This window comes from Homo sapiens, chromosome 1 (genome assembly GCF_000001405.40).
Source record: "Homo sapiens chromosome 1, GRCh38.p14 Primary Assembly".
NCBI classification, from domain to species: Eukaryota; Metazoa; Chordata; class Mammalia; order Primates; family Hominidae; genus Homo; species Homo sapiens.
Window position 1 is genome coordinate 63,393,205 of NC_000001.11, and position 18,581 is coordinate 63,411,785.

General features: G+C 36.5%; 1 protein-coding gene across 1 annotated transcript in view; it reads left to right on the forward strand.

Annotated features, from left to right (window-relative positions):
• ALG6 (ALG6 alpha-1,3-glucosyltransferase) overlaps window positions 1-18,581 on the forward strand; it is a 70,927-nt gene that overhangs the window by 25,578 nt on the left and 26,768 nt on the right. Inside the window, exons 3-8 of the mRNA NM_013339.4 lie at window positions 3,309-3,393; window positions 9,050-9,139; window positions 11,249-11,337; window positions 13,113-13,195; window positions 13,858-13,922; window positions 17,942-18,127. Coding sequence (NP_037471.2) covers window positions 3,309-3,393; window positions 9,050-9,139; window positions 11,249-11,337; window positions 13,113-13,195; window positions 13,858-13,922; window positions 17,942-18,127 — 598 coding nt within the window. The remainder of the gene's footprint in view (window positions 1-3,308; window positions 3,394-9,049; window positions 9,140-11,248; window positions 11,338-13,112; window positions 13,196-13,857; window positions 13,923-17,941; window positions 18,128-18,581) is intronic.

Genomic DNA, 18,581 nt, shown 5'->3' on the forward strand with positions numbered 1-18,581 from the left:
CCCTCCCTGCCCCCAATCCCGCCACCCAGCCAAAGAATACACATGCAAAAATGCAATTAATTCTTTGGGGAATTCTTTTCTTAAAAAAATTTTTATTATTGTAGGTTATTCTTCCTCTCCAGTTTAATTAAGCAAACTTTTAATGTACTATATGCCTAGCAATGTTTTCTCTGGACACTGGAAAATCAGTTTCTCTGCCTATGGGATATAAAATTCTTATCTGGTTAGCAGTTAAGAAATAGTATAGTCATATGATAAAACATGGGAACTGAAAGTATAAGTATTGTGAGAAGTCAGTAGTTAGTGATCAATATGTTTTTAATTTATGAAGGAAGGCTTCATGGAAGATTTAGGATTTCAGATGATGCTTGAAGGTTGGATATGAGTTGATAGAAATAGATGTATAGAATATGGAATAAGAAGCATGAACAGAAACTTTGAATTTCAAAGTGCCAGATAGTAACTTAAAAATGTTTTTGGGTGAGAACTCATATATGGCACTGTGTTAAAGCAACCTCGGCAAAATTAATTGGTCTGCCATCACAAATTAATGTTGCAGATCAGTAAGTGAAAAATCAGGGACTCACAAACTCAAGTCTTTTGAACTTAAACGTCCTTGCTGTATTAACATTCACTGATAACCTATGAGGGTGGCATTAAGAATCTACTAGGTGCTATTACATTCTGAGAATAGAAAACTTATTAAGTTTCTTTCTGAGAGATAGAGAGACAGAGACCCACACACATGCGTGTATACTATGGTTAATTTCTTGTGCAAATCACTCAATGTATATATGCTATAGAAAAGTTAATCTGGGTTTCCCATGATTGTCTCATAGTGGGAATATCTTCTTAGAGATTATAGCGTTTAAAGAATATTGGTATAATTCAACAATTAAATACAAACACTTCATGTAATGTTGTAAAACTGGAGAAAATCTGGATTAGATTTCAGTGAGCAATAATATGTCATTCTTCAATATGGCACACCTTCCTAATGGGTTAATTAGTATATTTGACTCTATGTGATTTTTACCTTACATGCCAGTTTAAAAAGCTGTGATTATACTGTACCTCTTTGGGCCTTCTCACAATTTTGTAGTCAACTGTTAGTTAAATAGTGAGTGGGTGTTTACTCTTTACTAAATGGAGATAGCTTTACATCTTTTTTTTTTCTTTCTTTCTTTTCTTTTGAGACGGAGTCTCACTCTGTCGCCCAGGCTGGAGTGCAGTGGCGCAATCTCAGCTCACTGTAACCTCTGCCTCTCGGGTTCAAGTGCCTCAGCCTCCCAAGTAGCTGGGACTGCAGATGCCCACCACCACCCTGGCTAATTTTTTGTATTTTTAGTAGAGATGGGGTTTCACCATGTTGGCCAGATGGTCTCGATCTCTTGACCTCGTGATCCACCCACCTCGGCCTCCCAAAGTGCTGGGATTACAGGCGTGAGCCACCACGCCCGGCCACCTTTATGTCATTTTAAATGATTTAAGAATAAAAGCTACTTAACCAACTTATGAGGCATTACAGAATAGGAGCTAAGAGCATGGATTATGGAGCCAGTCTGCCTGGATTCAAATCCAGACTTTGCTGCTTATTACGTGAATGGCCATTGCCTTTGTTTTCCCAGCTATAAAGTGGGTATAATGATAATACCTATTTCTTTTCTTTTTTTTTTTTTTGGATGGAGTCTCACTCTGTCGCCCAGGCTGGAGGGCAGTGGTGTGATCTTGGCTCACTGCAACCTCCGCCTCCTGGGTTCAAGCGATTCTCCTGCCTCAGCCTCCTGAGTAGCTGGGATTACAGGCACGCACCACCATGCCCGGCTAATTTTTGTATTTTTAGTAGAGACAGGGTTTCACCATGTTGGTCAGGCTGGTCTTGAACTCCTGACCTCGTGATCTGCTCACCTCGGCCTCCCAAAGTGCTGGGATTACAGGTGTGAGCCTCCGCGCCTGGCCAGATAATACCTATTTCATAGGTTCATTGTATTTGGTATATAGTAAGCACTATCAAGTGTTAGTTATTACAAATCCATTATCCCTTATTTGCAATTTTGAAATTAAAGTAATCAAACCGTAAAGCAATAGTTTTTATACAACTTATTTGACAGCAAAGCCTGATCTAATTAATGTCTTTTTAACATATAGTCTGTTTTTGACCCTATACTTGACCTTAAGTTATTTATAGTTTGTAAAAGTCCTTTGTAATGGCTGGGCATGGTGGCTGACGCCTATAATCCCAGCACTTTGGGAGGTCGAGGCAGGCAGATCACTTGATGCCAGGAGTGTGAGACCAGCCTGGCCAACATGGTGAAACCGGTCTCTAATAAAAATACAAAAATTAGGCAGTTATGGTGGCACACGCCTATAATCCCAGCTACTCGGGAGGCTGAATCATGAGAACCGCTTGAACCCCAGAGGTGGAGGTTGCAGTAAGCTGAGATTGTGCCACTGCACTCCAGCCTGGGTGACAGAGCATGACTCTGTCTCAAAAAAAAGTCCTTTATAAAATGCAGATACTCGTGTTACTATTTTATGGTACATATTGGGCAGTATAGTTGACAGCCTTATGAAGTAAAAATAAACCTGGATATAATTATTATTGAGTACAGTCAGCCCTCTGTATCCATGGATTCTATATCTGTGGATTCAGCCAACCATGGATTGAAAATATTCGGGAAATAAAAAAGGATGATTGTGCCTGTACTGAACATGTAGATTTTTTTCCCTTGCATTATCCCCTAAACAATACAGTATAACAACTATTTATGTAGCATTTTACATTGTTAGGTATTATAAGTAATCTAAAGATGATTTAAAGTATACAAGAGAATGAGCAGAGGTTATATGCAAATACTATGGCATTTTATATAAGGGATGAGCATCCATGAAGTTTGATTTCTGTGGTAGTGGGGGGTCCTAGAATGAATCCCCCACAGATACTGAGGGATGATTGTAATGTTAATAATAGTGTCTATTTATTGAATGTTTACCATGTGCCAGGCACTATGCTGGGTATTTTATATCCATTATCTTATTTATTCCAGTAGTCTGCAGTAGGGAAGTTGTATTGATCCTGTTTTTAATGTGCTCAAGTTTAGGGAGATTAAGTAATTTGCCCAGCGTCACTCCAGCAGTGTGCCAGCAGTGCTAGATTCAGATTTTATCTCTCTGACTTTCTCGGTAACTCCTGTGTTCTTTCTGTAACCTACACTGCCTCTCTAATTTAGACAATTTTCATAAGGAAATAAAAATCACTGATATGCTAAAGTACATTGTTGTTTTGCTCTTTTTACCTTTGATCTTAGGTGCTGGTAAACCGCCTATGTTTGGTGATTATGAAGCTCAGAGACACTGGCAAGAAATAACTTTTAATTTACCGGTCAAACAATGGTATGATAATTTTAACTTGTTTTTCTTGTTTATCATAGTTAATACAGATTGTTTGAAAATATTAAAGGGACAACACGCTATTTTCTTCATCTTGAACATCCTCATCTCTTGCATGCTGGTGCCACATATGTATTGCCTTGCATTTTGTAGGCCTGTCTTTGAAATTTGATAGTCCTGAAAGTTAATTCATATACTTAGTTAGGTGGGCTATGATGCTGAACTAGAACGTTGATGATAAAACTCTGAATGTCTATATGTCCTCTGTACATAAACTATGGAAGCACCATCATAGGCTAAAAACATTTCTTCCCTGTTCCCTCATCCACTGTTTCTCTCACTAAAGATCACTATGATTGTAACTATAGATAAAAATAAAAGAGAGCTTTGGCAGTAGCTGATGGCTGAATTTGCAGATCTGAAAAGGGGACCAAAGGGAGAAGCCTACAATGATAGGACTTGTTTTCAACTCTGGAAATTTCGCATGTGTCCTTTTGATTCACCTTTGAATACCGTGCATCTAGTATAGGGCATGGCACATTGTAGACCCTCAATAAAAATCTGTGGAAGGAATGAGTATTTAGGTGTTCACTTTTTCTTTTTTTTTTTGAGATGGAGTCTCACTCTGTCGCCCAGGCTGGAGTGCAGTGGCGTGATCTCAGCTCACTGCAACCTCTGCTGCCTGGGTTCAAGCGATTCTCCTGCCTCAGCCTCCCAAGTATCTGGGATTGCAGGTGCCTGTCACCATGCCCGGCTAATTTTTGTAGTTTTTAGTAGAGACAGGGTTTCACCATCTTGGCCAGGCTGGTTTTGAACTCCTAACCTCGTGATCCACCCACCTTGACCTCCCAAAGTGCTGGGATTACAGGCTTGAGCCACCATGTGCGGCCTAGGTGTTCGTTTTCGTATGGTCTCATTTCCATAGCTTTCTCTTTGTATTATGAAGGAGGAGGTCAGCTCTACCCTTCATTGTTATATGATACAGTATATATTGAACCGTCTGTTTCTGAAAACTCAGAGAACTTCATAGACATTTTTGTTAATTATTATTGCTCTCTATCATAATTGAGCAGTGGTGATTAACCTTAATTTTGTATACAAATCTACCTGAAGTATAAAATAGCAGTAGCTTAGTGGTAAAGAGTGTAGGTGCTAGAGTCAGACTGTCTGAGTTCAGATCCCAGCTCTACTATTTATTAGCTGTGTGACCTTTGGCAAATCATTTAACTTTCTCAACCACAGTTTTATTACTTATAGAATGAAAATAGTAGACTACATATTTCACTGGGTTATTGTGAGGACTGAATAAAATGATACATGTAAAGCACTTAGGCCAGTCCCTAGCATGTAACGAACTCTCAATAAATGTTAGCTCTGGTTATAGCATCATAGAAATTCATGCCTGTGTCATTTTTATTGAACATATCCTGATAACTGTTGATGACATTATTTATTGACTTACTAGATGGTTGGTAGGTTATTCTCTTAGAGACTGGCTATATAAACTGTTCATATTATATTGTTGACTGCTTTGGCTACTGCTTTTATATAGCTCTTTATCAGAGAGTTTTATGCAAGAACTTCATATTGAGTTTTCTATTGATAGGTTGCCTGTTCCCTAGTCAGAGTTTGGAGTGTTTCAAATGGAAGAGGAACTCGAAACACTTTAAATGTCTCTTAGTAGGGGAATGATTAAATAAAGTCTATTTCTTATGTGCTCATTTTTTCTAGGTAGATTCCTAGAAGTGGAAGCTCTAAAGTAACACCAGGATATCTCATTCTACGTACCCTGACCAACATTTAGTAATACCGGACTTTTAAAATTGGCACTTCCTTGAGTAATTGTGACCTGAGCATCTTCTAATGTATTTATTGATAATTATATTTCTTTTTTTTGAGACGGAGTCTCGCTCTGTTGTCCAGGCTGGAGTGCAGTGGCTCGATCTCGGCTCACTGCAAGCTCCGCCTCCCAGGTTCACGCCATTCTCCTGCCTTAGCTTCCCGAGTAGCTGGGACTACAGGCGCCCACCACCACGCCTGGCTAATTTTTTTTTGTATTTTTAGTAGAGACAGGGTTTCACCATGTTAGCCAGGATGGTCTTGATCTCCTGACCTCGTGATCCGCCCATCTCGGCCTCCCAAAGTGCTGGGATTACAGGCTTGAGCCACCGTGCCTGGCCGATAATTAGATTTCTTTTCAAAATTGCTTGTTCATTTCTTTCCCCCGTGTTTGTAGTGGATAATCATTTTTGTAATGATTTGTATGATTTTTAAATAGTTATACTAATTTTCTATGCTGTGTAATGAATGACCTCAAATGCTAATTGCTAAAACACACATTTATTATCACAGTTTCTTTAGATCAGGAGTTTGGGCACAGCTTAGCTAGGTATTCTGCTCAGAGTTTCGGGAAGGCTATATTTCAGGTGTCAGCTGGGCTGCAGACTTATCAGAGGCTCAAATGGAGAAGGATCCATTTCCAAGTTCCCTCAGGCTGTTGGCAGAATTAGTTTCCTTGCATCTGCAAGAGTGAGGGCTTCAGTTTCTTGTTGGGAGCCACTCTTGGCTCCTAGAGCTCACATGCCATTTGTTGCTATGTGGCTTCTCCAACATGGCCATGCACTAAAATATGCCAGCTTGCTTCTTTAAAGTCAGTGAGAGGCAGTCTGTCTAGTATATCTGCTAGCAAGACAGAATATTACATGTACGTGAAACAGAAGCACAAGAGTGATATCCTATCACATTTACCATATTGTATTAGTTAGATGCAAATCACAGGACTTGCCTACGCTCAAGGGGAGGGGATTGTATGCACGCAGGAGTCTGAACAGCAGGAGATGGTGTTCTCAGTGGTGACCTTAAAGTCTGTCTACCACGACAGTATAGCAGTACTGTACACTTTAATCATTTTCCTCATGTGTGTGTATGCGTGTATAAAATAAACGTCTTCTTTCTGTTTGTTCTTGTCTTGTTCTGTAATTGGTGTCTGTTGTCTTATAAAACTTTCTACATTTTGATGTATGTAAGTTATTTCAACTATTCTTGCAACTTTTCTGTAACTTTGAAACTGTTTCAGGCTAAAAATTTTTTTCTTTAAACAAAAATACCAAATATGACTCTGTGGGTTGTCTGTTAGAGAAAACTACATCTTAAAGTTAATGGTAACACTCTTGAATGTAATTTTATAATTCGTGTGGCAGCCATTTTTTTTTTACTTACTAAACATCTACTGAGATTACATGGGAATTCAGTGGAAAAATACATTTCAATGTATAAATAGTATTTAGACAACTTTTTGGGTATTGATATATCTAAAGTAAGGCCGGGCGCAGTGGCTTACGCCTGTAATCCCAGCACTTTGGGAGACCAAGGCGGGCAGATCACGAGGTCAGGAGTTCGAGACCAGCCTGACCAACATGGAGAAACCCCATCTCTACTAAAAATATGAAATTAGCTGGGCGTGGTGGTGCATGCCTGTAATCCCAGCTACTCAGGAGGCTGAGGCAGGAGAATCGCTTGAACCTGGGAGGCGGAGGTTGCAGTGAACCAAGATCGCAACATTGCACTCCAGCCTGGGCAACAAGAGCAAAACTCTGTCTCAAAAAAAAAAAAATATATATATATATACGTATATATATATATATATATACGTATATATATGTATATATATATACGTATATATATATACGTATATATATATACGTATATATATGTATATATATATACGTATATATATATATACGTATATATATATGTATATATATATGTATATATATGTATATATATATAAAATATAAAGCAGGAGTATCAACTAATTGCTTTATTCCTACTGATATATTTTGATGCTTTACTTGAAACACTTCTAAGCTATCTTCTCTTATGCCTCTTTGTTCTGCTTTATGAATTTCCATAAGAATGGGGAGCACTGTTATAAATCCTATATTTTTTTCCTCCTAATCCAACCAATGACTTTATTTTTAGTATATATCATTGCATGCTTGCAGCTTACTGTCAATGCCTCTTTTACTCATCTCCAGTGGATCTCAAGGTTAAACTAAATGAAAAAATAGGTTTTGTCTATTTTCAGAAGCTGAAAACCAAATCAAGTTGTATTGGACAAAATGTGATTCTTGAATTACTTGATGGTTTTCCATTGCTGTATCCATCTTAGTTGTTTTGTGGCTAGTAGCCAATTGGAACTACTATTGAGCACTTTGTGTCAGTCACTGACCTCACAGCTTTACTTGTTTAACTCAATGCTTCAACAGCTCTGAGGCTGATAAAATAAAACTTTATGCTATATAGTAACATGAATTTGGAAATGATATAATTGGTGCCTGTCTTCAGGTATCTCTGTCTAGAAAAGTGGGTCCTTTGGTCTCCATTATTTGCCTGGCCCGGTTTCCCAGATTCAAGCTGCCAAAAGGGGCTCCAACTAACCCAGAGATTCTTAGACTCGCTGCTTCTTGGCTTCAAGTCCCAGCCAGACATGGAACCCAAGATTGTTCACATGGATGTTTCTGGAGGGACAATGGCCACCAGCTGGTACCATACTGTAGTACTCTATGCCCAGATGTCTTGGCTGTCTACCATGCCTTGATAATTTTAATCCCCATCTCTTCCATACAAACCTATGTTTTATGTAACTGACACTAAGAATAGACCTTCCGAAGATGATTAATAGGTTATTTGATGGGATCATGTTGAATGCTAATTTAAAGAAATATTTTTAATTCAAAAAGTAAGAGATTGTGATAGTGAGGAATTGTGACCCATTTGAAATAAGTTAGGCCGGGCATGGTGGCTCACCCCTGTAATCGCAGCACTTTGGGAGGCCGAGGAGGGTGGATCACTTGAGGTCAGGAGTTCAAGACCAGCCTGGCCAACATGGTGAAACCCCGTCTCTACTAAAAATACAAAAATTAGCTGGGCCTGGTGGTGGGTGCCTGTAATCCAAGCTACTCAGGAGGCTGAGGCAGGAGAATCGCTTAAAAAAAAAAAAAACCCAGGAGGCGGAAGTTGCAGTGAGCCGAGATTGCGCCACTGCACTCCAGTCTAGGTGACGGAGCAAGATTCCGTCTCAAAAAGAAATAAGCTTATGAACAATGGTTATTTATGGGTTATATAGTTTGGCTTGCACTGTTGTATTCTTATGATTGAGAAAATAAATGGAATAGAAGAAGAAGCTGCCTAGTTGTAAAGGACATGATTAAGAAATTATTTTAACTTAACTTTTAGTTCTCGAGTCATGATAGTTGTATATATTTCCTTCACATTCTGGCTAACCAGAGGAGCCTATCAATTTGTGGACATTAGACCTACTTTTCTTCCTAAAATTCAGAGAGCCTTGCACGTAACGAGGCTCTCGTTACATGTTGGTTGAATTGGTTACAAACAATCCTATTCTTTTTGTTGCATATTTTTTGTTGTATGAGTGTTAGTCATTGATGAAGTCTACTAATAGTAGGATGACAGTAAATCCCAGTTTGCCTAGGAGAGTCCTGGTTTGTGTCTATTGACATGGCTTAATTATTAATAGCTTAATAATTAGTAAATTACATTATTAAGCTTAGATAAGTGAGGTGCAATGTTAAATTATAAGTCTACTTCTTGAATATTGATTAACGGAATGGTGCTTTCTTCTTTTTTTCTTTTTCAGGTATTTTAACAGCAGTGATAACAATTTACAGTATTGGGGATTGGATTACCCACCTCTTACAGCTTATCATAGTCTCCTATGTGCATATGTGTAAGTTTTTCTTTCTTAATGTAACTCTAAATTTTTATGCCCTTGGCAGATTTAGTAAGAAGCAGTGTGATGGGGCTTTCTTGACTAGAGGAGAGATTGCTTGTAGCTGCTATTGTATTTTTTTTTTTTTTTTTTTTTTTTGAGATGAAGTCTCACTCCATCGCCCAGGCTGGAGTGCAGTGGTACAATCTCGGCTTACTGCAACCTCCACCTTCCAGGCTCAAGTGATTCTCTTGCCTCAGCCTCCTGAGTAGCTGGGAGTACAGGTGCCCGCCACCATGCCTGGCTAATGTTTGTATTTTTAGTAGAGACGGGGTTTCACCATGTTGGCCAAGCTGGTCTCAAACTCCTGACCTTAAGTGATCTGCCCACCTCAGCCTCCCAAAGTGCTGGGATTACAGGCATGAGCCACCTCACCCAGCCACTGCTATTGTATTGTGTATTACAAATGGGTTTTAAGAAATAACTATTGGCTGGGAGTGGTGGCTCACGCCTGTAATCCCAGCACTGTGGGAGGCCGAGGCGGGCGGATCACGAGGTCAGGAGATTTAGACCATCCTGGCTAACATGGTGAAACCCCATCTCTACTAAAAATACAAAAATTAGTCAGGCGTGGTGGCACATGCCTGTAGTCCCAGCTACTTGGGAGGCTGAGGCAGGAGAATCGCTTGAACCCAGGAGGTGGAGGTTGCAGTGAGCCGAGATCACGCCACTGCATTCCATCCTGGGCAACAGAGTGAGACTCCATCTCAAAAAAAAAAAAAAAAAAAAAAAAAAGAACTATCAAAGTTTGAACATTTCTATAATTTTTTTGGAGGACATCTAGCAAGAAATGTGAAAAACCTAGTTTTGTTTTGAAGTAGAGATGTTATCCATATGTGTAGACTACTAAGAAATATATCTAATATGTGTTGTGTATAAGAAAGTTTTTTTTCTGGAACAGCTCAAAGTAAATGAAAAATATAGATCCAGATGGTTACCAACTAATCTGTCAAGTTAGAAACTAGAATAATTGTAGTGTTTCATTTGTGATTGAAGATCAAAATGGGAATTCCTCCTCCTTTTAAAGAAATTGAATAGTTATAGAAGATAAGGAACTTCTGTTTTGGTAAAGACCCAGTTCTACTCTGTAGTGGTATTCCATCTTAGATTTGAAGTATGTCAGCAAAAATTTGAGGAACCTCTTCACAATATCTCGTGAACTCATCTTGTTTAATTTCTACTTACAGCCCTGTGTCACTTCACGATGGGGATACATTCTGAGAAATGTGTGGTTAGGTGATTTCATCATTATGCAAACATCATAGAGGGTACTTTAGTAGGCAAAATGGTATAGCCTACTATATCTAGGCGTATAGCATAGCCTATTGTTCCTAGGCTACAAACCTGTACAGCATGTCACTGTACTGAATACTGTAGGCAGTTGTAACACAATGGTATTTGTATATTTAAACATATCAACACATAGCTAGCGTAAAAATATGGTAGTACAATCTTATGGGATCATTGTCCTACATATGGTCCATTGTTGACTGAAATGTCGTTATGCGGTGTCGTTATGAGTGTATTTAATATTTGCAAAAATAAGCTTCATGGATTGAAAATAAACTCCCAAACATCATCATTATAGTATTCAGGGTAATTGTAATATGGTTGAAAATTTCATTTAACAATTGTGTTTAGTTTTATGCAGTGATTTATGATTATTATAGCTGTTTATTGTAGCCAATTGTTATGATAACTAAAATATTATAAATTGTAAAGATGATCCTCTGGTCAACACTAGCATATTGCTTTTTATAAAGTATGTGTTTGGTAAATGAAATGTGACATGCCAGATTGTTTTTACACTGGAAGAACTGTGAAGATAGGGCTTGTAGTTATACCTTACATAGTTTTGTTGGAAGGTAAGCAATGTAGATGCTGTTTTATAGCTTAAGTCAGTTTCACATGATTAAATAAAAAGAGTAAAACTTAAGCATTGACTCTGTTGCTTTATAAGAGAAATGGCCAATTCTCAAAATATTAATACATTCATATATCCTTCAATATCTTTATTGCTAAAAGGGATGAGGAATGAAGTATCTGTATATATGCTTTGATTTGCAGGGCAAAGTTTATAAATCCAGACTGGATTGCTCTCCATACATCACGTGGATATGAGAGTCAGGCACATAAGCTCTTCATGCGTACAACAGGTAAAAGAGCAATGGGTAGTGAATATAAAATTTGATTTTTTAAAAATTTTGGACAAACTGGTAAAGGTACTATTATTGTTCTTACTGACTTTAAAATTGTGCAATTACACAAACACATATATTTACAAATATACATATTTGTATACATGATCCAAGACCAAATGTATATGTAAGCTAAAACTTGAAAGAGTAGAAAGGAATAATTCTGGGTGCTTTACATTTTTTATCTGACTTAATTCTTTGAACACCTAAATGAGATAAATACTATTATTCTTATTTTAAGCTGAGGAAACTGAGGCATAGTTAAATGAAGCAAGATAGCTATAAATTGAATCTTTAGTTTTTTAGGGTGCTGCTTTAATATCCTAATTCTAAATTTCTTTCATTTTTTCTTAAAGCAAACCTTGCAGTTATCATCTTATACATTGTATTGTTGTGCAGTTTCTAAATTAAATAATCCACACAACAAATGTTTATTGAGCATGTGTGTGTGCTGTTGTAGGAGCTTGAAAGTAATAAGCTTAGATTTCTTTAAGAGCTTTACATGACTTATGCTTTAATGCTTTAAAAGCCCAGTCCTTTTCCTTAATTAGTCTAAATGTAGTCAGAGTTTGTTCTCCTTACAATTCATCCAGTCATGGAATCTTAGGCCCAAGAGATAACCTGTTTTTCCTGTCTTTCCCTCTCCCACACCACTGCCCTTCCCTCTCCAATGCTTTAATCCTTTCTGAACCACATACACACCATGTGATTATTTGGCTTCTGAACCAATATCCATACTTGCAGGGAACTCACAACCTTTAGAGACAGTCTATTCTGTTTTCAGAGAGCTCCAGTCATTAAAAATTACTTTCTAAATTGAACTTCCACCAGTCATTACAGATTATGTTTTCTAGGGTTACAGAGAACAAGTCTGATCCCTTGTATCCCTAACATCCTACAGGAATTTGAAGTCACCTCTTCTCTAAGTTAAAGATTCCTATATACTTCAGCTATTCCTTAGATGAGCAATTTGTTGAATGTGATTATGGTTTTGAGGACTCTCGCCACTCTTTTGGGTGTGTTCCAGTTTGTCAGTGTCATCTTTAATGTGGCATCTGGAGCTGAACATATTGATAGATTTCAGTTGATAGATTGATAGTTTACTGTCACCTTTTTCTTGACACTAAGTGAGATATAAGAAAAAAATAAGCTCTTTAGACAGCTATGTTATACATTTGAAGAACTTATGTATTTATTTTTCTTTGTTCTAAAGGACTGCATGTTCAAAATTATGAATTGCTTTTCTTTTTTTAGGATTTTTTTTTCAGTTTTCTCCTCACCTGGGTTTCTCAAGCTCTTTATATGCATTAATTAGCAAAAGTTTATATTTTTTCAATAAAGACCAACATTTAAAAAAGATTTTCTTACACATCACTACATTTCAGTTATTCTTTATACTAGAAAATTCAGAGTATATAGATTGAGGAAAAAAATATTTCCTTGCTTTGAATATTTTTAAGTCCAAGTTAGAGCAAAGAGAGAATGTTAGATACATCTGATTGATTAAATGTGTGAATTTGTTAGAGAAAATTAAGAGACTCCTTTGCAATACAGCAATTGAAATTAGTCACAGGTGAAGGGATTGAAAAGTGCTGACTGTGTAAAGGACTTGTCCATAGTAGGGCAAGAACCTTGTGTTAATGAATTCTCAATGTTGGAGGAAGGGAGGCAGTTAATGGGTAGCTGTAAATCCTGATGGACTCATGTTTAAAGTTATTTACTTGTGTTTTCAGTTTTAATTGCTGATCTGCTGATTTACATACCTGCAGTGGTTTTGTACTGTTGTTGCTTAAAAGAAATCTCAACTAAGAAAAAGGTAGGTTTTCAAGCAGCCTGACAGTTCGTCTCTGAAATGTATTCTTTATTAGTCTAACTATTAAGTATAGACCTTAGAGAAGCCATGCTTTTGGAAAGAGAGTAATTAGGAATATTGTATCTTCTATCAATTTTCACTTCAAAAGCATCAACTTATCTTACAGTAATTAATTATTTTAGTGTACTACTAAGATACACTGAATCTTGGAAGTTATGTACTGTTGAACTACATGCCTTGCTGAATTTGTTACTTTACTGGTAAAGCTGAATTTTGAGCTGGCTTGTGAGATTGACCAAACTGAAAGGCATTTTGAAAAGTTGTTGTATATTCTTAATTCATAGTTATCAAATATTATTTTTGGTCATTTTAGATAGGTTAACATTAGATTGACTTCTCCAGTTTGTGTATCTGAAAGTACTTCCTCTGACAAAACCTTTTAGTGGTTTTGTTTTTCCTTTTTATGGAAGTGTCCAATGTCACCTTCATGAAAACTTCATTGTCTAAAGAGTTGTATTATAAAAATTGAATATTTTATGAAAAGAAAGTGTGACACCTCTGGAAAAGGGGAACATTTGCTAATGTGTTAGATAAAAACCACACTTTTACCCTGCTTGATTTGTGTAACAGATTACTTTCTTATCTCACAATATTTGTCTTTACAGATTGCTAATGCATTATGCATCTTGCTGTATCCAGGCCTTATTCTTATAGACTATGGACATTTTCAGTATCCTTTACTAATGCAGAAATGAAGTCAGTTGCATATTGTGAAATCTAGACTCAATGTGTACATTGCTGTCATCTAGTAATGTCTTATTTGATAGAGTGCTTGCTTATATAAACTATTTCACAATAATATAAAAGAATCTCTTCACTAAGCTTTTATTTGAAAGGTAAAGTACAGATTTATTAAAAGTAGAATTGCTTTTTCATGTTGTTTGATTGGGAACAAAATGTTGGTAAATGATTAGCTCTTTCTGGGGTGTTGGAAAAAGAGTGCCAAGTATGGTTATACTCTAGTAATTCTAAAGTGTAACATGTCTTCTATCCTTTGTAAATGTTATCTGACGTGAAAAAAGGAGAATGATCTTACAGTTTTATGAGTTTAAAAATTTTTTTTCTATCAGATAGTAGTAGCTAGAAGCTTCAGGAAACTAAAACTGATAATCAAAATATGGCTTTTATATGTGTATTTTTTTGATGCCTAAAATAAGGAACATTCAAACAAAGCTTAGATGAGAATAAATTGATAAAAATCTGTATATATCTATCTAATTTGTCTTATAATATATTGAATGTTATTACCTGTCTCCATCTCTCTTAAAGGAAAAAAAGACGACATTACACAGCAACATGATTATTTAATTAATAGCTTTTCCTTTTGATGCCAGTCTTGTTTTAGTTATAATAACACTAATAGGTATATCTGTCAAAGGACTTACAAATAAAAGATATTCAAGTCTGTAGTTGTTTTTATCATATATTTTATATTCTGTCCACTTTACTAATTTAGTTTTTTAAAAATTTTGACATTGTTTATGGGATCATGGCTATCAGATACTCTGATAATATCAAGAACAGTGATAGAAAAGGAAAAAATGTTATCTACCAGAGTTTTAAAACTATATTTACTTTGAAATGTGACACTCATGCAGAAAACTATGCAAAATATAAATGTACAGCTCAGTGAGTTGGCAAACTACCACTCATGTCAAGAAATAGAACATTACTAGTATCCAAAAACTACCCTTGTACACCTCCCCATCCTTCTCCCTCCTCCTTTCCCAATGGTACCCCTGAACTAACTACTAATCCTATAGTTTTCCCCTTTTTTGAATTTTATATGAAAGGGACAGCATAGTAAGTATTCTTTTGTGTTTGATGTTTTGGGCTGAACATTTTGTTTATGAGATGTATTCATGTAGTTGTGTGTAGCTGCAGTTTGTTAAAAAACTATGAAAGTGAATTCAGTGTTCACTTTCATTGCTTTACGATATTCCATTGCATGAATACATGTAATTCTATCACTGAGAGAGTAATTTGGGTTGTTTCCCAGTTTGGGCCATGACGAATAATGCTGCCATGAACATCTTATAAATATCTCCTTGTACATATATAAACATTCTTCTTATAAGTGGAATTGTTGAGTTATAGAGTGTGCACATGTCGATTTTTAGATAATCCCAAGTTGTTTTTAGCAGCATGTACCAATTAAGACTCTCATAACAATGGTGTAAGAGTTCCAGATGCTCTACATCTTGACCAACTGTCAATGGTTTTCGATTTAGCCATTCTGGAAAATTTGTAGTAGTATGTCCCCTGTGATTTGAGTTAAACTCTGAAGGCTTTCAGGCATATGTTATCTTGTAAGGATACATTTTTTTCTTTTGAGACGGAGTTTCGGAGTTTCGCTCTTGTCCGCCATGCTGGAATGCAATGGCGTGATTTTGGCTCGCTGCAACCTCTGCCTCCTGGGTTCAAACGATACTCCTGCCTCAGCCTCCTAAGTAGCTGGGATTATAGGCATGTGCCACCACACCCTGTTAATTTTTGTATTTTTAGTAGAGACAGGGTTTCACTGTGTTGGCCAGACTGGTCTCAAACTCCTGACCTCAAGTGATCCACCCACCTTGGCCTCCCAGAGTGCTGGGATTATAGGTGTGAGCCACTGTGCCTAGCTCTAAGGACACATTTTTTAACCATTATGTACTTTTCTCATTTGCAAAATGTGGATAATAGAAACCCTGACTTTGTAAGCTTAGTTTGATAATTAAATGAATTAATATTTGTAAAGCACTTAAGACAGTTCCTGGGAGACACTAAGCATTATATAGGCATTTGTTGCTATTATTACCATTTTTATAATTTATTTTTGTGGTTCTGAAATTTTACAGTGATTTGTTTAGACATAGGTGTTTTTCACAATTGTTTTGGATATCCAAACCGTATATGGGTCCATACGTTTTGAAGACTCATGTTCTTCTGTTCTGCTAAATTCTGTTATATTATTTCTTTGATGATTTTCTCACTTTTTTCTTTCTTGAGCCTATTAGTCAGATGTTTGATCTTTTGCATCCCTTTCTCTTTTGTTTTATGGGTTGGGTTATCTTGAGTTTATCCCCAACACTTCTATCGAATTTCATTTGTATTGTTAGGTATATTTTTAATTTCTAATTAGAATTTACTACTTTTTGTTTTTTTGGTAAAGTTCACTACTGTTCCCTGAGTGATTTTAATTCTTTCATGGTCATTTAGTTTCCCTTTCATTTCGATTCTTTTTCTGTCATAGGTTTTCTATAAATGTTTATTTTATCCTAGTGTATCTATTTTTATTTAAGAATAAGGCAAGAACACCTGCATATGACTTCTATATATCATTGGTCCACTCTAGGATAAGTGGGGAGCAAGCTGGCCACCACGCATTGAGATGCTTAAATGTCAGAATGTGGAGGGGTTTGCATTATAGTGCTAACCTCTACACTGGATAGTTTAGTTCATTTCTTCAGAAAAATATGCCCTCTTTTGTTGCCTTGGGGTAAATGTTTGGCTGCCAGATAATCTTTGCATGGGAGTGGGGTAAGATTTGACTTCTACCTCTAGGGATTTTCAGTTAATCTCTTGTTTTCTTCTGCACATACTACTCAAAGACTGTAACCTACTTGGTGTTTCCAAAGTTCTCTAGGGTCTTGCAGGGTGGATTGGCTTTTTGCTACCCTGAGTCTCCTCTATGTATATACTCTAAGCTGTGGCTTCCTTCATCCTATTTTATTTGTTATCACTTCTGTCTTCCAGAAATATGTTGAAATCTTTATCTATTATAACAGATCCTCCCATTCTCTTTATGGCTGTGAATTTATACTTTTTGTTTGTTTGTTTTTGTTTTCTTGCTCTCTTGCCCAAGCTGGAGTGCAGTGGCATGATCATAGCTCACTGCAGCCTCAACTTCCTGGGCTCAAGCAGTCCTCCTGCCTCAGCTTCTTGGGTAACTAGGACTCCAGGCTTGCACCACCACACTCGGCTAATTTAAAAATTTTTTTGTAGAGATGGGGTTTTGCCATGTTGCTGAGGCTGGTCTCAAACTCCTGGCTCAAGCAATCTTCCTGCCTTGGCCTTCCAAAGTGTTGGGTTTACAGGTGTGAGCCACGACTTCTGGCCTGAATTTATACTATTAAATTCCTTTTCCTATTATTTTAAGAGTCTCTCGGGAAGGAGAGGAGGTAAACATTAGTGCCTAGCTCACCATTTTGAACTGAAAATCTAATTGTGATATTGTTTTAATTAACAATGTTGTTAGTTTCTAATTAAGTACATATATTACTTTATACTATTAATATATATAATAGAGGAAGTGTAGCGATCTCAGTAAATTTTTTTTTAACTTGCTGTTGGAACATTGTTTTATTCTCTAGATTTTGGTATGTTATAATAATATTGTGAAGTAATCTAACAGAAACAAAGCTATGTTTTAAATCTTTAGAGCTCTTTTAAACCAAAACAAATCAGTTGCTGCTTAGCAGTAGATTTAATGTATTTGATGCTGTTATACATAATTTCATGTTTGTTTATCACTTCAGTACTTTGAATTTCTATTGGGAAATAGCTTTCATTGTATATGTTATTTTAAAATCACATAAGAGATATGCTATGAGCTTGCATTTCCTAGAGCATATCTCTTGTGTGATTTGCTTTTTAAAAGCTCTATCTTTTTAAAAGATTATTGAGATAATTTCCTTGACACAGGAACATATATAATTCTGTGAGTCTTGGCTTTGCTTTGTGGGGTGTTCTTGGAATATCTTGTGACTGCGACCTCCTAGGGTCACTGGCATTTTGCTTAGCTATAAATTATAAACAGATGGAACTTTACCACGCCTTGCCATTTTTTTGCTTTTTACTTGGCAAGTGTTTTAAAAAAGGCCTCAAAGGAAAGGGGTGAGTGACTTTTAAACACTAGAATCCAAAAATTTACTTCAGATAATTTTTTTGGCATACTTACTTGCAGTAAGATGATCTTTCACTTTGCCTTTTGGTGATTTCTTATAAATATTTTGGCTGTAGGGTATGTGGGAAGAGAGAGATTAAGTCATGTTCTGTATTTTATTTTTAATTTTCCTAACTAGAGAAATATTTCAATTCATGTATATTTACTGGTAGTGTGGATTGGGTAGTTAGAACTTTGCTGTAGGATTTTATCACTTTAGAGCTTACTACATTATATACTTATTAGAAATACATCCCCATTTGATATTTTTCTTCATGAATGCACTCTCTTATTCCTATAGGAATGGCATCTAACATAAATGTTAATTACGATGGTGATAACAGTCCTTTTGTTGAAGTGCACGTCTTAGCTGTTGTGAATTTTTTACCTCTGATTTGAGCACAC